This window comes from Homo sapiens, chromosome 12, assembly GCF_000001405.40.
Source record: "Homo sapiens chromosome 12, GRCh38.p14 Primary Assembly".
NCBI lineage: Eukaryota > Metazoa > Chordata > Mammalia > Primates > Hominidae > Homo > Homo sapiens.
Window position 1 is genome coordinate 94,142,028 of NC_000012.12, and position 23,259 is coordinate 94,165,286.

At 47.7% G+C, this 23,259-nt stretch overlaps 1 protein-coding gene across 5 annotated transcripts in view, besides 8 other annotated features; it reads left to right on the forward strand.

The window, feature by feature from the left end:
• Positions 6,317 to 6,446: a silencer, noted in NCBI's record as "silent region_4720". NCBI's record gives its function as "represses an Ori minimal core promoter by ATAC-STARR-seq in GM12878 lymphoblastoid cells {active_cell/tissue: GM12878}" and the evidence as "EXISTENCE:reporter gene assay evidence [ECO:0000049][PMID:35858748]".
• Positions 6,457 to 6,706: a silencer, noted in NCBI's record as "silent region_4721". NCBI's record gives its function as "represses an Ori minimal core promoter by ATAC-STARR-seq in GM12878 lymphoblastoid cells {active_cell/tissue: GM12878}" and the evidence as "EXISTENCE:reporter gene assay evidence [ECO:0000049][PMID:35858748]".
• Positions 6,550 to 23,259, forward strand: part of PLXNC1 (plexin C1) — a 159,099-nt gene continuing 142,389 nt past the window's right edge. For all 5 annotated transcript variants that reach the window (NM_005761.3, XM_006719186.5, XM_047428050.1 and 2 more), the window contains exon 1: positions 6,550 to 8,006. In NM_005761.3, the coding sequence (NP_005752.1) occupies positions 6,945 to 8,006 (1,062 nt within the window). In that variant the 5' untranslated portion in view covers positions 6,550 to 6,944. The remainder of the gene's footprint in view (positions 8,007 to 23,259) is intronic.
• Positions 6,777 to 7,006: a silencer, noted in NCBI's record as "silent region_4722". NCBI's record gives its function as "represses an Ori minimal core promoter by ATAC-STARR-seq in GM12878 lymphoblastoid cells {active_cell/tissue: GM12878}" and the evidence as "EXISTENCE:reporter gene assay evidence [ECO:0000049][PMID:35858748]".
• Positions 7,137 to 7,376: a silencer, noted in NCBI's record as "silent region_4723". NCBI's record gives its function as "represses an Ori minimal core promoter by ATAC-STARR-seq in GM12878 lymphoblastoid cells {active_cell/tissue: GM12878}" and the evidence as "EXISTENCE:reporter gene assay evidence [ECO:0000049][PMID:35858748]".
• Positions 7,577 to 7,676: an enhancer, noted in NCBI's record as "active region_6777". NCBI's record gives its function as "activates an Ori minimal core promoter by ATAC-STARR-seq in GM12878 lymphoblastoid cells {active_cell/tissue: GM12878}" and the evidence as "EXISTENCE:reporter gene assay evidence [ECO:0000049][PMID:35858748]".
• Positions 8,037 to 8,176: a silencer, noted in NCBI's record as "silent region_4724". NCBI's record gives its function as "represses an Ori minimal core promoter by ATAC-STARR-seq in GM12878 lymphoblastoid cells {active_cell/tissue: GM12878}" and the evidence as "EXISTENCE:reporter gene assay evidence [ECO:0000049][PMID:35858748]".
• Positions 8,657 to 8,816: a silencer, noted in NCBI's record as "silent region_4725". NCBI's record gives its function as "represses an Ori minimal core promoter by ATAC-STARR-seq in GM12878 lymphoblastoid cells {active_cell/tissue: GM12878}" and the evidence as "EXISTENCE:reporter gene assay evidence [ECO:0000049][PMID:35858748]".
• Positions 9,017 to 9,076: an enhancer, noted in NCBI's record as "active region_6778". NCBI's record gives its function as "activates an Ori minimal core promoter by ATAC-STARR-seq in GM12878 lymphoblastoid cells {active_cell/tissue: GM12878}" and the evidence as "EXISTENCE:reporter gene assay evidence [ECO:0000049][PMID:35858748]".

Here is a 23,259-nt window from a genome sequence, read left to right on the forward strand (position 1 = left end):
ACATAGGTTTCCTTGAGTATAAAGGAACCAAAAACATCCAAGTTATCTCTTCATTATTAGTAGGGGGCGACATAGGGTGAGGTCTGGAGATGAGGAAGTATAGCAATCTCTTAATAATCCTGCTTTGGTAATAATGAATATCAATGGAATTTCTCAACTTTATTGAAGGGACAGCTGGAGTTCAGACTTAAGGAGAAATGTCTTAAAAGGAAAAAGCGGCATGCTTGGTTTTGTATCTTGTTTGAAAATATATTTCAAACGTTCAGCAGAATTTTAGAGATCATAACCACCCTCTGCCCCCACCACCTTCTGAACCCTTAGTCCCCAGTAGTTCTGATTTACTTTTAAGATTCTTTTAGTTTTATGTTTTAACTGAAAAAAAAAAAAATCCTGCCCAGCCAGGTTTCCATCTGTCTGTATCACCGGGTTGAATTTAGTGTAGGAAAGCCTGTGCAAAGGGAATAAAAATGTAGCTTTTTTTCCATTGCCAGATTCAGGGGAACCAACCATTTGGAAACAAAGGAGTTCCATTTTGACTAGCAGCCTTTCTGCTTTCCATCAGTGGACAAAGTGAATGTACAGGTTTAAACATCATTTGGGGTCACCTCTAGATCCATGTTTGGAGGTAGATTGGTTTGTTAGTTATGATTCTGGCAGGAAACAGGTGACACATGCAAACAGATACATTAATTGAGGGACCATGGCCGAGCCATGCCAGGATGAAGGGAGACCAGCAGAGGCTAGCCACAGCGACAACCATGGAATCCCACAGGCCTGAGGAGGAGGGTGAGGGAGTGGTTACTGGGTCCACGAAAGGCTGTGGCTACAGTGTAGCTGTGAGAGAGGACAGCCCACAGGAGCTGTGGCCTTGTAGAGGGACACAGCCATGGCCAATGCATAGATCAGCAGAGAGGGAGCTGGGAGAATAAATATTCAAACTTCACCCTAGCTGTCCACCCCTAGATCTCTGGCTGGGGCTTCCCATTGGCTGAATCCAACGAGAAGCCAAAAGGCAAGGGTGATGTCCATAAATGTCAAACTTCTGGGTCTCAAGCAAAAGGGGGAGCAGTGGGGAAATGGTCTGCAGGGAGAAGAAGAGACTATTCAACACAGACGGGGAAGAAGAACTAAATAGGAAGGACTAGGGAAGGGGTGAAAGAGATTGCGGTGATGGTTTCAAGGGTGTAGACTTATCTCCAAGCACAACATGTTGTATATAATAAATAGGTATGGATTTTTGTATGACAGTCATACTTCAATGAAGGCTTTGTAAAAAAAAAAAAAATAGGGGCAGGAGAGCGAGGCAAACACTCGGTCTTCCATGAACTTTGCATTTGGGATTCTGTGCGTGGGGATGAGTGCCTGAGAGATGCTGTTTGGACTGCCATATTCCCAGGGCTTCCCCAGGATGGGTGATGAGTGGGGCTGCCCCCACCCTGGGGCCATACGCCAAACTGCCCGACCGCAAGAGCCCATGCTCAGAGCTGATATTGGTTGCTTCCTCCCGACCTTGGTGGGGCTATTTTCTAGGGAGTGGCAAGGACATAAGAATGAGAAGCCACACCAGCTTGGTGGAGAGCACTAGAGGGCTCACTGCGAAGTCCAGCAACTTTATTGTCAGCTCAGAGCATCTCCCCACCAGAATCTCAAGGAAGCGGAAGTACAAGTGGCTGTGAAGTTATCTGCGTGTTTATCTTATCTTCTGCTATTCATTTCAAGAGTTGGAGTTATTATTAATAAGAAGGCCTGGTTTCTGGCAGCTCTTCTCTTAGAATGGGTTTATGCCAAGCTGCCAGTTATCAGAGGATTCAGAGCCTAGGATTATGCTGACAGCGAGTCTCAGAGCTGTGATGGGAGGGCAAAGACACGGGAAACAACGTTGTATTAAAGAGGAATCAGCGTTTTGTGTCTAGTCCTTGATGCCCTTTTGGCTTCCTATTTCCGAAGAACAGCAAGGAAAATACAAGGAGAGACAGACTGGAATCCTGTGAATATCAGAGAAAAGCTTGATTTTCAAGAGACTGCTCAAGTTACAGAGATTCCCCAAATCTGAAGAAGTAATTAACTGATGAGTTCGCATACTTCATGCAGGGTGAACTCCAGCCGGTCTAGAAAAACACTGTGATGGTTGATGATTTACCATACTTTGCTTTCAACCAGTAATTGTCTCAGATTCTTAACCACTGATGGTTTTGGTGAATGTTTTGGAGAAAAGGCTCGAGAGAAACTTCATGACACTAAACATACTCTCTGAGAAGTGTGGTGCTAGAATGCTAAGGTGATGTCCTAGACTTCGCAGTCTCTTAAACATATCTGACATTATATTATGCTATGGCATGCTATGCTATGCTATGCTATGCTATGCTATGCTATGCTATGCTATGCTATGCTATGCTATGCTATGCTATGCTATGTTATGTCTTTTTAGGCAATAGCTCATCCCTCCCTAAAGCAGAGTGAATGCTCTTATTTAGCTTAAAGACAGTCATTGGACTTTGAGTAAAGAGTCATTTTCTTGTACGTTCCACTCCACCCTCCAGTGTACATTTGCACTCTGCTGGCGAATGACCATGAGCTATTAAATCATGACAAAGAAAAAGATGACAACTGTAATGTTGGGAGTGACCCCCAAGTCCCACCTACTGAAGGAACACCACAAGCCTTCCTCACTTTAAACCATGGCATGGGGGCACTATCACCAAGCATAAGAATGCCCAGCAATCGTCTGGGGCCATGTTGGGTGGGCAGAGAGGATGAGGCACTGAGTTCCTTCAGCCACGTCTTAACTGTGCCATGTCAGAGAGACTTTTCATGTTGATTGAACTGTGTCCAACTCATCTCTCAGCACCAATGCGAACTTATTAAACAGCTCTTCCTCTAATCTTTTTTCAACCATCTACTCATCAGCAGACTAGAAAGAAGACTGGCTCATTTCTTTTTCCTGTCAGCCACCAAAAGGGCCTGGGAGCTTTGATAAGGGCCTCGATGTGGAAGACCACATAGATATCAGCAAAACTGTGGAGGAAGAAGTGGTCTGCTTAAAACCTAAGAGGACAATACAGGTACTATTCCACCCACTGGGTGGTATTTCCAAATTCTGCACAGGGGGTTGTAGCTATGTAGATGAGGCTTAGAGAGAATTCACTGACCACCAGAACAAATATTCTCAGTTGCTTTCAATCTCTGCCAGCCAAGTCATGCTACAGACCACTGTCAGATGAAAAAAAAAAAAAAAAAGAAAGAAAATCAGAAAGAAAACTGAAGCACCAATGATAGCCATCTTGTGACTGTGACCAATTGCCTACTGAACAGTTCTTAATGTCCTGGGCCCCAGCAGGAAACCACTGAATCTATAAAGTCCTGTCCACCAGAAATGAGTCTGATTGTGGATGGCCTGGTTAACCCAGATTGCCTTCGGTGCCTGAGGGACTTGATATTTTCTCATTATGAAGACTTTCCCATCTAGTGAACGCTGCAAATAAAACTGCTCAGAATCGGTCTGAACTGCCTGTTTCCGTGGTAGCAGGCCTCTGTCTGGAGGATAAATCTGCACCATCTTCTTTTTTTTTTTTTTTTTTTTGGGTTTCAGCCAGTTGTGTTACAAGGAGTTCCGAAATGTGCTATAAGTGACACCCAACAAGATGGGCTCGGCCAGTTGGAGAGGGAAGCTTTGTCACCAAAGGGACTTGCACCCCTGGGCCAGACGGTGGTGTCCAAGAGAAAGTGATCAAAGAGATACAGAACCCGCATGCCTAAATATTTATTTCAGTTGTTCGTATTTCCCACACTTTTCAAATGTGAACTTGTGTCCTGAAGGTGGAGCTTTAGTACACAAGAAAATTGGGAAGGGGCAAACATGTTTGTACAAAATGGGGGTAGAATCAGCAAAGAATGCATTTATATGCTTCCTCGTCGCCTACGTTTTTCATGCCAAAAAGTTAGCACAGATTCTGATTTCTTTCACCGTAGGAGTCTGCATACAATTAAATGGGAGGCAAAAGAAGCCCACTCTTAAGAGTGGGGCTTATGGTCCCAGTAGAATGGCAGGGAACTGTAGCCATCAAAGCCATTTATACTTCTTGTGGGTAGTATTTTTAAGATGTTGTTTCTTTTTCAAAATGAAGCAGCAATGAACTGAGTAGTGATCAAAATGCCGCACCACAGAGTATGTTTAATCCAAATAGCTCCCAAGATGGTCTGTGACTGATTGTACCAACTCTACGGGACTTAGAGAAATGACTTGGTTACCAGTGAAGTAAAACTATCTCTGGAATGGAATTGAACTGTTGCTTCTCAGCACATAGCGACACTGCCACCGCTGGTTCACGGAGCCAGTGAAGGTCACTGAGTTCTGCATCAGTCACAGGGAAAACTGTCAAAACACCAGCGCATAAATCCCCTACTATGCTGTGGAGGGGGTCTCTGAGCTTCGGATGAGGTTTTTAAAATATTGATCTTCCCACTTCCAGAGGTGCAAAAATTCTGAAAGCATTCCAGGAGGGCAGGGAGTGGGGGAGCAAGGCCAGATATTTTGGAGCAGGTGAAACATCTGACTTGTCTTGCCTGAGATGTCCCGATTAACACCAACTGGGTACTTTAGGCCTTTCCCCTTCTTCCTCCCCTCTCCTTATGGACACTCCAACACCATCATCACAGCACAAAGGGCAACCTCATATCTCGTGGGAAGGCATTTTCTGCCTCCTGCCAGGCAAAGATAATGTTATCCAATTGCAAATGAAAGGCTTATGAATGAAAAGATGACCACTCTGACTTTAGTGTATGAGAGCCACTGCTGAAATGATAGGATCCTTGAACTTCACATCTAGAGCAGAAACTCACACTTCTCTTCTTCTCCCTCCACCTCACCCTTCTTTCCTTAAGCCTTCCAGAACTCCTGCCATATCCCTCAGCACTGGGGAGAACTTGAAGCACTGTTGGAGAAGTTTGAAACCTGCAACCTTCGGCAGGACTCAGCATGGGACAAAAGCCACCTCATTCCTTTCCCTTCCCAAAACAGCATCTCGAGCTGGGGAACTTGGAGGGAAGGAAGAAAGGGGATAGCAGCCAATTGCCCTCCCTGGGGCCTGGGGTCTGGAAATAGCCTGGGAAGGAACAGAGATCATTTCCCAACGATCCATAGAGGTCCTCAGCACCCTCCACTCCTATGCACCCCCTGGCTCATCTGCCAGACTGTAAGGGTGCTGATGGTGCCCGCAGCTGCCCCGGGAAGCTGGGAGGCATTTGTGCATCCTCTGGGAAGCCCCATTCCGAGAAATCATGAACCTATTCCCCAGTGGGCAATGATTCCCTGTGCTTCAGAAATTCTTGGCGGCTGTGGGGGCAACCCAGCTGTTATTCACCCTCTGGGTGAGGTGGTGAGACCTCAGGGGGTCCAAAGGATAAAAGTGGGTAATGATGAGACAGATGGAGAGCCTCGAGGGAAATACGGGGACTTGGGTCTAATAGTAGAAAGCAGGGCGGGGGCTGGTTGGTGCATTTAACTTGAGGAACTTTTCAGTCTCACTACAGAGAATGATCTCTGGGGGATTATGGCAATGGCCACAGGTGGCACTTAACTAGAGCCAGGTATGTAAGAGGCCCTGGGGCTAGATATGGATTCGAATCTCGGCTCTGATATCTACCAGCAGTAGAATGCCAGCACGTTCCACAACCTTTCTATAACCATTCTCCTGGACTACTAAGTAGGGATGACAATAACAGTCACTAATTAATAGGGCTGTTATGAGAATTATGAGTCTTAACCCATGTGGTGAGTTCACAAGCGCACCCGGCACGTAGTAAGTGCTCAGTAAATGTTAGCCCCGCTCATTAGGTTAGATGGTGAGCAGAACTTTCCAAGTGCTAGGCTTGAGAGCCTGGGACTCTGTTGCCAAGGGAGATTAGAGAACCTTTGCAAATATGGGCGCTCCGGCCCTGGGGATTGTCCAGAACGAGAGTGTGGCGCCTGCCTTTCTGCCACCTCACTCATCCGACCCGGGGAAACCCACACCCTGTCACAGGGGCGCCTTGGTCCCCGGAGTCTCCGGCTCGGCCATGTCTCCCGCGCGCCTCCCCGGGGCCTCCCTCTCGCCGCTCCACACCTGTCAGCCGCTCTCGCAGCAGCCCTGTGGCCCGAGCCCGGGGCCTCAGCTGCAACCCCTTCGCACCCTGGATCCTCGCTCCGCGCGCCTGGCGTATCCCCGACCCGGCTGCTGTCGTAAACAAAACCGGGCGTTGGAGCAGCACCGCGGGCGGACGGGCGCGGGAGCCCGCTCCGTGCGCCGTTAGCGCGCCCCGGGAGCCCCAGGCGAGCCAAGGGGGCGATGGTGGCGGCCGCGGCGGCCGCGGCGGGCGGCTGAGCTTTGTTATGAATAGATGAAAGAGGCCACCTACACAGTAACCCAAATTACGAGACCTCCCTCCTCCCTATCTCACCGAATCAAGAGGGGAGGGGAGATGGGCGTGGAGGGAGGGCGGGCGGGCGGGCAGGAGGCGGAGGGCGGAGGAGGAAGAGAGGATGAGGAAGGGGGCCAGTTGCATCCCACTTTCACAATGGGAAAGTGAAACGCACAAGCGCACCCAACCTCTCCAGCCCTCCCCGCCCGCCTCGCTCCTCTCCGCCCGTCCCCTCCCTTCCCCTCCGCGCCTCCCCGCGAGCGCCAGCGCTGCACACAGGAACTCTCCGGCGAAGGAGGGCGAGGAGGAAACGGTGCCGGAGCGCGCAGGGCTTGCTGCCGCCACCGCCGCTGCACAGGCTGCCGGAGCGAGCCTGCCGCGCGCCGCCCTCCCCGCTCTCCTTCCTGGGCGAGCTGCGGGGATGGGGCGGCCGCGGGAGCCCGAGCGCGCGCAGGAACCGCCGCCGCCGCCGCCCGCGTCTCCGTTGCCGCGCGCCTGAGCCGCCGTCGCCGCCGCGCGCCCTGCCCGGGGGCGGCCCCCCCAGCCCCATGGAGGTCTCCCGGAGGAAGGCGCCGCCGCGCCCCCCGCGCCCCGCAGCGCCACTGCCCCTGCTCGCCTATCTGCTGGCACTGGCGGCTCCCGGCCGGGGCGCGGACGAGCCCGTGTGGCGGTCGGAGCAAGCCATCGGAGCCATCGCGGCGAGCCAGGAGGACGGCGTGTTTGTGGCGAGCGGCAGCTGCCTGGACCAGCTGGACTACAGCCTGGAGCACAGCCTCTCGCGCCTGTACCGGGACCAAGCGGGCAACTGCACAGAGCCGGTCTCGCTGGCGCCCCCCGCGCGGCCCCGGCCCGGGAGCAGCTTCAGCAAGCTGCTGCTGCCCTACCGCGAGGGGGCGGCCGGCCTCGGGGGGCTGCTGCTCACCGGCTGGACCTTCGACCGGGGCGCCTGCGAGGTGCGGCCCCTGGGCAACCTGAGCCGCAACTCCCTGCGCAACGGCACCGAGGTGGTGTCGTGCCACCCGCAGGGCTCGACGGCCGGCGTGGTGTACCGCGCGGGCCGGAACAACCGCTGGTACCTGGCGGTGGCCGCCACCTACGTGCTGCCTGAGCCGGAGACGGCGAGCCGCTGCAACCCCGCGGCATCCGACCACGACACGGCCATCGCGCTCAAGGACACGGAGGGGCGCAGCCTGGCCACGCAGGAGCTGGGGCGCCTCAAGCTGTGCGAGGGCGCGGGCAGCCTGCACTTCGTGGACGCCTTTCTCTGGAACGGCAGCATCTACTTCCCCTACTACCCCTACAACTACACGAGCGGCGCTGCCACCGGCTGGCCCAGCATGGCGCGCATCGCGCAGAGCACCGAGGTGCTGTTCCAGGGCCAGGCATCCCTCGACTGCGGCCACGGCCACCCCGACGGCCGCCGCCTGCTCCTCTCCTCCAGCCTAGTGGAGGCCCTGGACGTCTGGGCGGGAGTGTTCAGCGCGGCCGCTGGAGAGGGCCAGGAGCGGCGCTCCCCCACCACCACGGCGCTCTGCCTCTTCAGAATGAGTGAGATCCAGGCGCGCGCCAAGAGGGTCAGCTGGGACTTCAAGACGGCCGAGAGCCACTGCGTAAGTCCTGCCCCCGGGGCGCCGCGGAGAGCGCTGCTGCCGGGGAGCCGCCGCCGCCGCCGAGGCAGAACGAGCTGGGGGCGAGCGGCGGGGCGGGGGTACAGCCGGGTGACATTTACCAGGTCTCAGGTTCACACCGCGGGCGGCCGTCCGAAGGCTCCTCTCGGACGGTCCCCGAGACCTGGAGCACGGCCTGAGGTCCCCAAAGGGAGAGTGTAAAAAGGGGGGCGGGGAGGGTTGGAGTTAGACTCAAAACTCTAGTGGCTGCATCCCATTGCCATCCTTCCCTGTCCAAACGGGGACGCTTGTTTGGGGCTGAGTCTCCTCGCGCAGCCCCTCTTTCCCATTCGCTTCTCCAGACTTCTCTGTGCCCCTTCCGTGTAGTCCCAGCAGGCGTGTGGGTCTGACCCTCTTGGTCAACAGTTAGCAACACAGTGCCCTCGGCAGAGAAGCCATTGAACCTAAAGGGCTCCCTGCCACACCCCAGCCTTTGTGGCCCCCTGTCTCCGCCCCCCACCGGCAACGCAAGTGCTGTGGTCTGAAGAGTTGCTAGCCCGCTCAGCGTGGAGAAATGCCAGCCTGCAACAGAGGCTTGCGCTGGAACCGAACCCCTGGCGTGAGCCGGTGCGAGGGGGCGGTGCCGTGGCTCTGCTCAGGGTGCGCTGTGGTCGCCAGCCGCCGGGAGAGGCTGGGCGGGAGGTGGCCTTGTGGTAAAAGCCTCATCCTAGAGGGGAGTGCAAGGGAAAGTGTTGGGGGTGCTACAGGCAGTTTCTGGGCTCCAGATTGCGAGACTAGATGGCGGGACTCAGAGTCACCACCCTGGGGCTGAACCAGGCAAGCGATACAGGTTTCCCCTGGGCTCCCAGGGCAGCCACAGCTTTTATCTTGAGATTGGCATTTCTTTGACTGGAAAATAAAGAGGCAGTTCAAGAGGGTCCAGTTGATGGGGATTATGGAGCCATTGTGCACTTCTCCGGAGGCCGTTTCCCTTCCAAGGCGGCTGGCACATCAACTCCACATATGGCTCCTGAGAGGGGAGCCTGCTGGGAGCCTCCTTTATAACTGGACAAAAATCAAAGCGCAGAAATTAACGGCTACAGGTGTTGCCATTGTTTTGGTACAAAATGAATCAGAGAGGAAGGGGAGAAGTCACTGCTTGGAAAATGTGTTGATACAGGGGCACGTTGGCTCCCAGGTATATTAATATGTGTATAGAAAGACAGCTTCCCCCACCCCCTTCTTTCTCTGCAAAGCACATCTTACCAAATATTAGCCCTATGAGCCAGGGAGAAAAAAACCAGGAGGTCTTTTGCAAGGCTTCTTAGAACGGTCACTTGCTGCTGCTTCTTTGCCTGTCAAGCTGTGTGCTGGGACACACACATTAAGGCCTTCATTTTGTTACTGGTATAATTTTTAAAAATATGTAAAAACACATATTTGCCTCCTAAATGACTTGCTGTTGCCGTACACATATAATGTAATATTTGATTCCTGTCTTTATTAGATCTTTATAATCTAACGGTTTAAGTTTGGTAAAATTATCGTTTCCTACTTCTCTGTTGAAAGACTTGAAAGTACCCCCGAAATATTACTTTGTGTCAAGCTTTAGACACACTTAGTCTCTGGGGTTAATGACAAGCCAGCTCAGAGGCCCACAGCAGGTAATGAGGGTGAAAGTCCAAGCTTTGCCATCTGACAGCTGTGTCGATGTGTGGAGCCAAAACATTTCTCTTGACTGCGTCTCTCTACCTATTGGGTCCTGGAAGACTCAGTTCCCTTCCAAACCCAGCCAGCATCTTGAATGCACTCAAAATCCACGTTTTGGCTCAATCAGGTGTTCCTGCTTGTGCCGGGATGGGGAGGGGCAGTGGCAGAGGAAGTCGCGGAGCTTCTGCGAGAGAGCTGCCCCTTGGAAATCAAGCAAAGGATAAACACATGCTGCCAAAAATCTGGAACTGGAAAAATAAATAATTAAAATGGGTCCCTCCACAGCATTTCTTGCTGCTATTTATCAAGAACTCCCAGTGTGCTCAGAGCTGTGTGTTCTGAAAGACAGGGTCTGTACCCCCTGAGCTTGTCAGCCAAGTTAAATAATATACTCTGGTTCAAACAATAGCATGTCATGGCTGCACAGGTGGGAGCTTGGAGCTTTGCATTTTTTTTTCATTTAAGTAAATTCCTTGCTGCTAGTATGCATTGAAAAGCCTTAATGGAATTGAATTTCAAGAGGAGTTTGAATGAAAAAGGGTGGTAGTTTTGATGAAAAAGCTGACAATTTTCTAACCTATTAAATAGGTAGAGAAGATACTCAATTCAACAAATATTTGTTTGATGCCTGCTAGTGTAAGCAATGCTCTGTGCTGGGTGCCACTGATTTTGCCACTGAAAGGACGATAGCAGATTGCAACCTTGTGTAATGGGGTCATGGGATCAGTGTGCCCCTGGCTGTCACTCAGAAGAATGATGTCATTTGATTGCATTTGTTCTGCATTTTATTTTCAGGTCTTGAATGTGTTTTTGAAAAGGCATGCTGAATTATAGGTGCCTAAAACAGGAGCAGGACTTGAAACACTCTAGAGGGAACCTCAATAGATTCCAACAGCAATTCCTTTAGAGCAGACACAGTAATTTTAACAGTAATCCACAGGCTGCAAGGCACAAGCGGCTGGATTTGCTTGCCTTCTTTCTCCCTCTCCTCCTAGCTGGCTCTTATTTTCCGTCTTCAATCAGCCATAGGTAGAAAAGTGACAGGACTGACTGGGTTGTATTTTCCCACTTTCTGGTTCTCTTATCTCTTGTCACTGATCCTCCTCTCCTTCAGCTTCTGCTAAGCAGTGATTTACGAGATGCTTGTGTAATGAGTGTGTACTCAGCTGTTTACACACTGGACCATTACTTTTTCTGCCTTGCCACCAACTTTGAATCCACTTTCATAACTGTAGCAGGTTAACTGCAGCTCTCAAATGTGCTAAGGCAACCGATTTCTGTAGACCCTCTCTCTAATAATCTTCTGTGATATTTGTACAGCACTTCCACATGTATTATTTCTTTTGAGCCCCGCATCAAGTCTGAGGTTGATTCTATGGGGATGATTTCATTTTCCAGATGAGGAGGCTAAAGATCCGTTAAGCAGCTTGCTCAAGATAGTTAAGTGCCAAAGCCCTCCACCTTAAATCCAGGTCTTCCAATGTCTACATCTCTACTCTTCCCACCACCCCAGGGTTTCTCGAACTTTCCCTTGAAGGTCCCCTAATTAAATTGGCAGCAAACAACCTCCCCTAGGATGTGGGGTTGAGGCTAGAGGGTAACCTCAGAAGGCAGTACATGCCTCTAATCTTGGCTTGTGTTTTAGAACTTCATGTGGTCTCTTTCCTTTTTTTCATTCTTTTTTATAACACACCTGTGCTTGGATTAGTATAAAAATGAATGTTTTTAATTATGCACAAGTTAATCAATTTGACTTCCTACCTTTCTGAACTCTCACTACCCCTGGCACACCAACGTGATACACAGAAAGTGTTTGTGTTCGAGTTTGTGGAGTCTGATTGCTCCAGACTTGTTTGGCCACCATTGTTGGGTTCTGGGGTCACTCGTGGTTTAAACATGGCAGCCACCCCTCGGTAGACATTGAGGGTAGTACGTTTTCCTGCAGTATTGGTCCACAGGACTCTAGATCATTCTAGTTTGTTCTCTAGTTCATTCTACCCTTTGTAGGGGGACATACCGCCTTCTTCCACGCCTACATAATTCTAAAGCCTGACATAATTTAACTGTCATGCAGACAACCACAGAATGCTCACATGCTGCCCAACAGAGAGCAACCCAAGGAACATGTGTGGAGAAGTGACATCCCAGTTCCACTTGGCGATGCAGCCTATTGACCTCAAAATCCGCAGTCTTCTTGTGATGTTTATTTCTCTTCCAGCTTCTGTTATGATTTTGTCAAGCCATTTTGCAGTCTATAGACTAGATGGTGATTTTACCCTCATATACACATATTATATGCAAAAATGGATTCAAAAAGGACAATTGCCATGACAGCACCCACTTAGAAAGAGGGGAAAGCAATCATAGCTACTATCTACTGAATAGTTATTATGGCCAGGTTTTGTGTGAAGCAATTTACATGCCTTATTTTCTGTTGATTCTCATTCACCATATGGGGCAAGGACTGTAGTTATCATGATGATTAGAGATGAGAAAATTAAGGCCCAGAGAGCTTCTGTTAGGTTCCATAGCTGGAAAATAGCAGAGGATTTAGAACCTGGGTGGTCCAGCTCTACGACCTGAGCTTTTAGCCACCTTACAAGTCTATATTAAGGAGCCCTACCCTATTACTATTAATAATCATGATGGTGATGATAGTAAAGACATCCAAAGCACACGGCATTTTCTATGGGTCAAGTAGTGCTTATTCTATACACATTAACTCATGAATCCAGAGAATATTGCTGTCAAGGAAATGGGATTCCCCACTTATAAATAAAGAAACCAAAGCACGAAGGGTTAAATAATTACTACATGCAATAATGTGTACATGTCCACTGCCATGGACAGTCTGTCAGCATGGACATTAGGTCCTGATGTCAACCCTAACCTGTATGGAGCAAGCTAAGCCCTTGCAACTGCTATGCTAAGACCAGCTTTTTGTGGACACAGGCATAGGATAGCAGAGAATCCTTAGTTATGAGCTGAGTTTCTAGGTTTGCATTGGTGACCACCTGAAGTTCTGACTCTGGCAGGATTGTAGTTTCTTAACTGTGAACTTCTAGACAGTGTTGGTGTTCTGATCTATACATCATCTCAAAGGGTGTTCTCTGTTGAACCCCCCATACCTAGCATAGTACCCAGTATGTAGTTGGGACTTCAGAAATATTTGTTGAATGAATAAATGAAGGATCGTAGAGAATCATGTTGGAAATGTTTTCTCTACTCAGCAGCAACACTTTCTGGGAGTCTGGTCACCTCATACTCCCTTAATCATTGTCTTTTTCTTAATGCCTGATGTGTCAGGGCCCCTTCCTTCCTTAGTTTTAGGTTACATGGTGTCCTTTACTCCTTCACCTCTTCCCAGGTACTTCCATTCATTGGAATACCAGGCTTCTGGTGTTGCCAATCTGAGAGTTACTTTTGACCATGGAAACCTAGCATGGTTGGAACTTCTATGGTGTAATTTTTGATTGCCTTTCAACTATGAGAGGAAAGGGCTTTATGCTGTAGGCAGTGGTCCTTAAAGTGTGGACTGTGGCCCAGCAGCATGAATATCACCTGGGAACTTGCTAGAAATGCACATTCTTGGACCCTACACCAGACTTACTAAATCAGAAGCTCTGGAGGTTGGGGTGGGACTGGCAATCTGTATTTTAGCAAGCTCTCAACGTGATTTGAAGTCATGCTTAGGTTTAAGAACCACTATTGTAAGATAAAACAATTTTCCTTGTGTTCCAACTGAGGCACCTAGGATAGGAACTTGTCGCATTTTTTTTCCCCTTGCATTTTACTTAGGGCCATAAAAAGTAACCAACACATTTTACCACCTGATATTCCTTATTCCCTCCTCACTGATCAAAGGCAGTACCTAGAAAGCCCTTTAAAGACTTGCCATTTTTGGGCTTAGAGTCTGAGTCTCAAAAACCTGTAAGCCATAGTTTAATTAGCTCCTTCACTCTTGCATATAACAGTTTATTTGTATTTCACTCCCAGATGTGGGGGGATGTCTAGAGTCGTCTATTGTGCTGTACGCCAGAACCAATTCCGCACACCAGACATTCTCTCCAAGGGTCCATTCTTTACAACATCAGTCCTGTTACCAATTTCTATCCTAGTCATGTACAGTTGGTTGCATGGAATAAAGATCTACTTGAGTAAGGTCAGATAAAGGGATGAGGGATATTGTGGACAGAAACACATGGAATTACATGGTAATCTAGGAATAAAAGCAATGCTGTGTTATGGTTATGTGCACAGTCACTGGAACCAGGTCAATTGGGACCAAAGCTACCAGTTACCAGTTGTGGGACTGTAGACAAATTATTCAACCTTTCTGTGCCTCAGTTTCTTATCTATAAATAGTGATCCTCTTGGTTTCATAGGATTATTGTCTGGATTCACGAGTTAATAAGTATAGAATGAATACTACTAACTACTTAACTCATAGTAAATGTTATGTCTGTGTTTACTATCATCACCATCATTACTACTAATAGTGTTAGGACGGGCTCCTTGATATGCAGTTGGAAGGTGGTTCCACATTCAAGGCAGCTTAAAGGAGCTCAGTCAGCATCAGCAAATGATGGATGCTCCTTCCTTAGTCTCCCTGTTAACATGACTTAGCCTGGCTGCTTTGCACCATCCTCCTACCAAATAACCTCCTCTGCTTCCTCAAACATCTACTCCCTCCCACCTGAGTATGCCTCAGGCCTGCCTTGATCCCCACTGTCTATCTTTTTTTTTTTTTTTCTTGAAACAGGGTCTCATTCTGTTGCCCAGGCTAGAGTGCAGTGGCACAATCTCGGCTCACTGCAACTACCTCCTCCTGGATTCAAGCGATTCTCCTGCCTCAGCCTCCTGAGTAGCTGGGACCACAGGCGGGTGCTATCACGCCCAGCTAATTGGAATAAAATCATTTCTTAAACAATATGGTTCCTGGAGGAGAGACACTGGAAACTTTCTTTCTTTTTTTTTTTTTTTTTTAAACAGAGTCTCACCCTGTCACCTAGACTGGAGTGCAGTGGCATGATCATAGCTTATTGCGGCCTCAAACTCTTGGGTTCAAGTGATCCTCCCACCTCAGCTTCCCAAGTAGCTGGGACTACAGGCACACACCACCATGCCAGGCTGATTTTTTTTATTTTTATTTTTGGTAAAGATGAGGTCTTGCTATGTTGCCCATGCTGGTCTCAATCTCCTGAGCTAAAGCAGTCCTTCCGAAGTGCTAAGATTATAGGCATAAGCCAGCACACTTGCCTCCCACTGTACATCTTAACAGCCTGTCACCTTCGGCTTTGGCTACTAACTGGCAATGACTTTCTGTATTATTTAGTCCAAGTTGCCAGGAGAGAGATAGAGTTGAGTCCAGTTCATCTTTCCCACCAGATGATGAGCCCGAGTTCAGTGTAGGGATTTGTAACCCTTGGGGCAGGTGCTGGCCCCTGGTCCGACTAGAAGAGGATCAAACATGCAATTGTCCCCAGCAGGTGCTGCAGGTGGATTCCCTTAGAACAGGATGGCGGAAGAGCCACACCAAGACCAACATCTTGATTACAGTAGCATACAGTAGTGTCAAATCTGCCTCCCTTAAAGTTTTTTGATGACCACTCCCTTCCCCAAACATGCATTGGCACACAGATGATGAAGACTGGGAAACCCCAAAGTCGACTTGGGAACAGTGTGTGGCCAGCATGGGTCTAACCTGTTCATCAAAGTGGGGCCATGGAATGGTAGGTTTTCTTATTATGTTTTTTATGAAATGTGCTTATCATTTTTCTTAGTTTTAATTTTCTATCTTGATGAAATGCTAATTTTTACATGATCACAAAAACAAATAGAACTGTGACATTCATTTTTCAGTTTCAGTAGCTGATTTTCATGTTGGTTGGATTGTCTGTTCAATAGCTACACATAGTGCTTTCCTTAGAGAAGTTACTAGGGGGATGTGGCCCTATTTCCATCCCACCACCCTGGTCAATGCTGTTATGCAGGGGTCAGCAAACTCTTTCTGTAAAGGGCCAGATCATCAATATTTTCGGCTTTGCAGGCTGCATACAGTCTCTATCACAACTGCTCAATTCTGCTGCTGTAGTGTGAACACAGCCATGGACAATACATAAATGAGCAGGTAGGGCTGTGTTCCATTAAAATGTTATGGACACCGAAATGTGAATTCCCTGTAATTTTCACTTGTCATGAGTTATTCTTTTTTTGATTCTTTTCAACCATTTTAAAATGCAAAAGCTATTCTTAGCTCATGGGCCGTTTGAAAAACAGGCAACAAGCCAGATTTGGCCCACAGGTGGTGGTTTGTTGACTCCTGCTATTATAGAAAGAATGAGAGTAAAACAAACCTTTCCCATACAGTCTGATGCTCATGGCAAGAGAGACGTGACCAAAAGCTGCCGTGGAAGTCCCAAAAAGAGGCACTACTCTCAGCCTGGGAGGATCTGGGAGGCTTCAGAGAGGTAATGCTTGAGCTGCATCTTGAAGCTGAGTGGAGAAGGCAGAGAAGGGAGTTCTAGAGAGAAGGCACAGCTTGTGCACAAGCAGGAAGTTGAGTAAGCCTGGGAGCCACAAGCAGCTCACCAGGCTGCGGAATGTCCAGAAACGAGTGTGCAGGTCCAGATGGTGAAGGGCTTAATGAGACGGGCAAAGGTGGTTGGATTTTATCCTGATGGTTGGTCCTCTAGACTTTCCAAACCTTGCCTTTAAAATAAATTATCAATCGGAAGCTCCCTATGAGAAAAAGGTTAGAAAATTATCATTAGGCAGGGAGCAGATGGCGCATGCCCATAATCCCAGCACCTTGGGTGGCCAAGACGGGTGGATCACTTGAGCCCAGGAGTTTTAAGACTAGCCTGGGCAACGTAGCAAGACCCCATCTCTACAAAAATAAAAATAAAAATCTTAGCCAGGTGTAGTGGCACATATTTGTAGTCCAACTGCTTGGGAGTCTGAGACAGGGAGATCGCTTGAGCCCGGGAGTTAAAATCCAGCCTGAACAACGTAACACGACCCTGTCTCTTGAGAAAAATTATCATTGACTTGGTTCTTTTTGTAAGACCAATTACCAAGCGCTGGGAACATGGGAGGAAGCAGGGGTTGGGAGTTTCCGGAGCCCTACAACTTGCCACACCCCATCCGGGCCTGTCCCTGAGGCATCTCCAAGGAACTTCTAGAGCAGGGTGTGAAAACCATGGCTAAGGTTGATGGAGTAAAACAGCGGGATTATAAACAGACACAATCTGAATGTGTTCTAGAAAGATTACTCAGAAGATAAAGTGGCTGCAATAAGGTTGGAGGCAAAGCACCTTATTAGAAGGACTATCATTTGTTCGAATACTTTCTTGAGCTCCTATTATGTGCCAAGCAATGTGTGGAGACATTTATATCATGGTAAATAGGGTAGACAATAAACATTTGGCAAATTAATAGTTACTTTTACATTAAGATGATAGCTAAAATTTACAGCTCACCTACTGTATATCATTATTCTAAGCACTTTACCAATATTAACTCATCTAATCCTCACTGCAACTTTACAAAATGGGCTGTATTATTACTACCATTTTAAAGATGAAGAAACGGAGGCACTTCACTAAACAGGTAATGTAGCAGAGGCATTTGGGGGTTGCAGGTGTTGGGGTAAGTTCTCTTTAAGGAGGCCGAATTGACACCAGGAAGATAAGAAAGGCCGGTTGCAGGTTTCCCTTGCAGATCTGGGAAGAGCAGTGCTGGCAGACTGGAGGGCATGTGCAAGAACTCAAAGATGGAACATCCTGGTCTTGGTGGTTGTGGAGAGCAAAATGCTAGTGTGGTTGAGGCTAGGGAGGTAGAGGAGAGAGTATGAGGGGAGGAGGCTGGAGAAGGAAGCAGCAGGCCCAGCCTGCAGGCCTCCTTGGCAATGGGAAGGAGATTAGATTTTCTTCTCCGAGCACAGGAGAGCCTTTGAAGGGAAGTGAAATGATTGGATTTGAATTCCTAAATAACGGCTGCCCTGTGGGGAATGGATGAGAGATTGGCCACAGCGGAAGAAGGAAAACCTGCAGGAGGCTCTTGCAGTAGTCCAGACAAGAAATAATGTCACCTTGGCCACGAGCAGTGGTGACAAATATGGAGAGAAACAGATGGATTTTGTTTATTGCAATCATTCAACTGAGGGACGTTGAAGAGCTGAACTGAGGTTGCAGCAATGAGGATGGAGAGGAGGGGTGAAGTGAAATAGGTTTTTAAGACGTGGAGGACCAATTAGAGGATGAGTTTAATTTTTGTTGATTTTTAGATGCCTTGGGACATACAGGAAGACAGGAAGAGTTGCTAAGTAGGGAGTTGGCAATGAAGTTAGGAGTTGGGGATCCACTCTATAAACCTTAGAGTGTGCCAGGCCCTGTGTCAGGCCCCACACATCCCTGTTTGGGCTATATGTGCACTGAGGGGAGTAGCCAGGTCTGGCTCATCTTTCTTTCCCAGGCATCTATCAGGTTGGCTAACACATGGTGAGTGAGCCCTCAGTAAGTGTTTCTAGAACTGGAAAAAAGGTACTCTTCATCTGGTGGAGAAGATAGTGATTATAGCATGGTGAGATGAGTGCGTCCAAGAGGAGTTGACACTGGGGCTCTGTTTTGAGGAAAAGTAAAAGCTGGGCAGCAACAGGGAAGTGTATTTCCTTTTGACTCCCTTCCCAATTAGCCAGGATTCCTTGTCATCCCCTGTCTCCCCGCAACCTGACTGAGGAAGCGTGTTACCTAACACACCAGCTGTTCCTGATCATCGCCCCTTGGTCTTCTCCTGAGGCTCCTTTCTCTATCATTGACCCCTTTTAAAAATTGGATTCCGAGTGCAAAGCCTTGCTTCTCTGAGGCAATAGAGGGGGGAATAGCCTAGAGCAGCTGGTGGCTGTAGGTGTAACCTAGTGTCAGCCCCCGCACTTAGCAATATGTTTCTTCATAACCCTGCAGAGCTCTTGTGCTGTAGACCTCTAATGCAGCCTGTAGACCCCCTGACAGAATAATGTTTTTTAATGCATGAAATGAAAACATTGGATTGCAAAATAGATGTAATATATTAATATATCGATCTATCAAAATGTTTTTTCAATTAAAGGTATAGTAATGTATCTTAACACATTCAATAGCAAGATATAGAGGCAGTAACTACCATAATTTCAAAGTAGAGATGAGCATAAATGATACTTTGAGATATCTGCAACAACTATCAAATAATATGAAAATATCTGATTTCTTTTGGTGACAAAGTCACAGGTTCAGTAAATACTGCTGTGGCCTGAATCCATGATTAAAGGAAATGCTAAGTTCCAGTTAGAGCTCCCTGGAATAAAGATTTTTTTTTTTCATCCAGTTTCATGGATTCCCTGAATTCTGTTCATGAACTGTGGATATCAGTGGAGCCCCACTCTAACCATTCATTTCAGTTACCAAGTGTTTCAGAAACCAATGACATGAAATGCAAAGTTTAGCATTTTATTTCAAAACTCATTTGACTGGTTTATTTTGACAATAGGGAGTTTGTTCCCATCTGTATTTTACAGATCAAGTACTTGGTCAACAGCAAGTGCTCCATAAATAATAGGTGGATGAGTGGATGGGTGGGTGGATGAGTGGATGGGTGGGTAGAGAAAGCTCAGAAAGGATAAATGACTGTCTAAACACTTACAGCTCATAAGTAATAGAGTTTGAACTTGAAACCACATATTTTTTACTCTAAATCACTTGTTCTTTCTATTCTTCCATGCTACCATCAGCTACTTTTATTTGAAAGGACACAATGATAGGGCATGTTCTTAAAAATATGCATTTGAATCATGGGAAAGGACAATCCTATTATTATTTGCTTTGGTCAGAGCACACCTAAAGTACTGTGTTTACTTCTTAGAAGCACATTTTAAGTACACTGAATCTGTTGACTGTTCATGGACTGAGATGGCGAGAGACTTAGAAATTGTCTCTTACAAGCTATCAATGAGCTATGGATGTGAAATTCAGAGAAGGCCAGTTTACATGGTAATGGGAGGTCTGGGGTGGTTTTCTATTGCTCCCCAAGGCAGAACCAAGGCCCAGTATTTACAAGGGACGAATCTTGGCTCAATTAAAGAACTCAGTAATGATTAGGCCTACTTATCAATGTATCATAATTGCCTGATGAGATATTGACTGAAAGTATTCAAACATTGACCCATGTATTTATTTATCCCTTTGATAAGCATTTATTGACAACCTACTCCATGCCAGATGCTGAGGTGGATGCTGCATTCGAAGTGTAGAATACAATACTATTGGAGATAGTCAGTCTTATAAAGATGGAGTCTACTGGGAGACAGTAAGTTTTTAAAAACAATAGTTATAATAAGTATTTTGAAGGAAATAAATGGAGTGCTGTGATTCAGAATAAAAACTGAGGTAGGAACGGGAAGAGCTATGGTCATGTGTCCACGAGTAGGTGACATTCAACTTGAAACCTGACAGATTGAAAAGAGCCAGCCTACAAGGGAGTGAAGGGGGGTGGGGCTAGAAGAAGTAGCAAGTGCAAAGGCCCTGAGGCAGAAAGATGGTAATGTGTCCAGAGTCTGAAAGAAAGTGACTGGACTTGGGGAGCAGAAGCAGAGTGCAGGAGGAGAAGAATGGCAAGGAATGGGTGTGAAGACGTCATCAGGGATCAGCTCAGGGAGAGTCTGGGGAGGCATATGGATTCAATTCTCAGCATTGTGATGGGAAGCCATTGGAGAATTTTAGTCAAGGGAGTAACAGGACCTGTTTCATGTTTTAAAAGATCACTTTGGCTACTGGACAGAGAATAAATTGAAAGTTAAAAGGGAGACACCAAGAGACTCTTGCACTAGATCGGGAGGGGAATGAATGGGCACTTGGGCTGAATAGAGCCTGTAGAGATAGAGAAGGTGAATTTGAGATTATTGGGAAATTCGACTGAGATTTTTAATGTATTGGATGTGGGGAGTGACAGAAAGAGAAGAGTTGAGGGTGATTAGTGGTGCTGTTGACCATGATGGGTAGCAGGACCAGAGGGAAGAAAAGTCTAGATAACCATTTGTCAGCACCTCTGAAACCATGTCACAGATTTCAGTGGTTCTTAACAGGGGATAATGACATTTACTTAGGGGATGTTGAGAAATGTTGGGGAGAGACTTTCACAGTAGTCAACATAATAGAGGGCACTGCTTTGTGGACAGGAGTCAGGAATGCTAGAAGTCCCGCATCACACAGGACAGCTCCCATAATGAGGAGCCATCCCATGTAGAATGCCAGTTGTTTCCTCCTGGACAAGCACTGGTGGACTGAGTCTCTTTCAATTCTGAGAACCTAGGGCCAGGTGCGGTGGCTCACACCTGTAATGCCAGCACTTTGGGAAGCTAAGGTGGGCGGATCATGAGGTCAGGAGTTCAAGACCAGCCTAGCCAACATAGTGAAACCCCATCTCTACTAAAAATACAATAATTAGCCAGGCATGGTGGCAGGCACCTGTAGCTACTCCGGAGGCTGAGGCAGGAGAATCGCTTGAACCCGGGAGTCAGAGGTTGCCGTGAGCCGAGATCGTGCCACTACACTCCAGCCTGGGCGACACAGTGAGACTCTGTCTCAAAATAATAATAATAAAAAAAAGAATCTAGGAAAATGCAGTTTCACGCTATCTGCCATTCATATACTTTTGTAAATTATTTGAGTCAGGTCGTCTTTTTATAAGTAATTGACTGAAATTAGCCATAGGGAGGAGAAGGAGGTTGTGGGGGTGGGGAAGGGACATAAAGCGGGAAGAAGGAAGGATGAATCTTGGAGAGTGGGACTTTGCTGGTGGGTTGGCCTGGGTGGCTGGGAACACTGGGGCCCGTCGAGGGAGGGGAGAGGGTAGAAGGAGGTGAAATACAAGCTTCACCACCTTGCATGCTTCCCACGGCTGTGCTGCACACCAGTGATGTTTTCTGGTCTAGAGGCTGCCCAGCTGTGTCCCTAAGCACACTTTGAACCTCTCCTTTTGGTCATTTGAGTCCCCAGTGTAAATTCTTCCTTCAGACGATCAGAGAGCTGCCATAACTTAGTCAGATCCCGGTCAACACTGTATACACTAGAATGGAGAAAAGCAACCCGAGCCTTCCTAGCTAATAAAATCACTGTCCGACTTGGGCAAATAGTTGTCCTTTCCATCTCCTTAGCTGAATAAAAGTAATCTAATTATTTTCAAACACATGATTTCATCTGGACCTCACAACAACACTGAGAGGCAGGGCATGTGGTATTATTAGGTCCATTTTACAGATACAGTCACTGAGGTTCAGGAGACTTAACTTGCTGGAATCAAGCAGTCTATAAGGCACAGAGCAGGGGCCAGAACTTGGGTGCAGGGCTCCTTCAGGGGTTTCCTAATGGCAAGTGGGCCCCTTGGGAAGTAACAGAAAATGATGAAACTGCTTCAAAACAAAGGGATCCCAAAGGGAACAGAATATAAAATTAACTGCCCAAGAAAGGCATTTTGTCATGTACAAGAAATTGATAGGTACCCAGTTGGTATTTCCTCCCACCTGGTAAGGTAAAATCAACATACAGGAATCCTTTTAGCACCTTGGGGGTAAAACACTTGACTCTTGCTTGGTGCTCAACATTGGAGGCCCCAGTTTTGTGCCCATTCCCTCCCGATGATGCCGCAAAAGCTGGAGCATGGCTGTGAGCACCCTGCCTCGATGAGCCGGGCCATCTTTCACATGGTAGGGGCAGGGCCAAGCTGTGGCTCAGCTCTAGAGGGTGCCTTTCACACCCTGGAATGCATGACTGGCACCCCCTGCAGTTGTGCAGGGCACAATGGGAGAGTATTTATTGTCCATGAAAAATCATATGAAGCAGCTGCAAAGAAGTCTAATTGTTTTCCTCATGATATGCCCATGACTCCCTGCACACACACACACACACACACACACACACACACACACACACACACGTACACACACAAACACACACACACCTCAGGAGCTTTGGTCCCAGTTTGCTATATCAGGCCCAAAGCTCTTTCTCTCTTTCAGCCCAAACATCGCTTGAGCCAAGGTAGCTTTCTCCTCCAACTGAGAAAAGTTTCCCTCTTAGAGCCGGCAAACGTGTAGGCGTGACGTTATGCTTAGACACGGCAGGAAGGAGAAGCAGAGTGACAACTCTGAGGGAACCAAGAAAGCCCAAAGGGGAGACAAGGTTTAGAGCGAAATCAAGATCGGATTTTGTCATGAAAGGCAGAACTGGCAAAAGCATCATTACAAGGCATTAACCTTGTTACACACAGACGAACAAGCAGAGGCTGGGATTCAGAAATAAATTACACATAATAAACTAGACAGAATAGGCTGAGAGCAACATTAGCGATTATGCCCTAAGGGGAGAGAAGGGCAAGATAGAAAATAGGCCCGAAAAAAAGAGAGAAAGAATAATCTCTGGACACAGGGGGCTGACTGCACTGTTTCCCCCTTCTTCTGCCTGGCTCCCTGGGTATTAACCTCACTTTTGTGAGGACGTTTCTCCGGAGCCTGTCT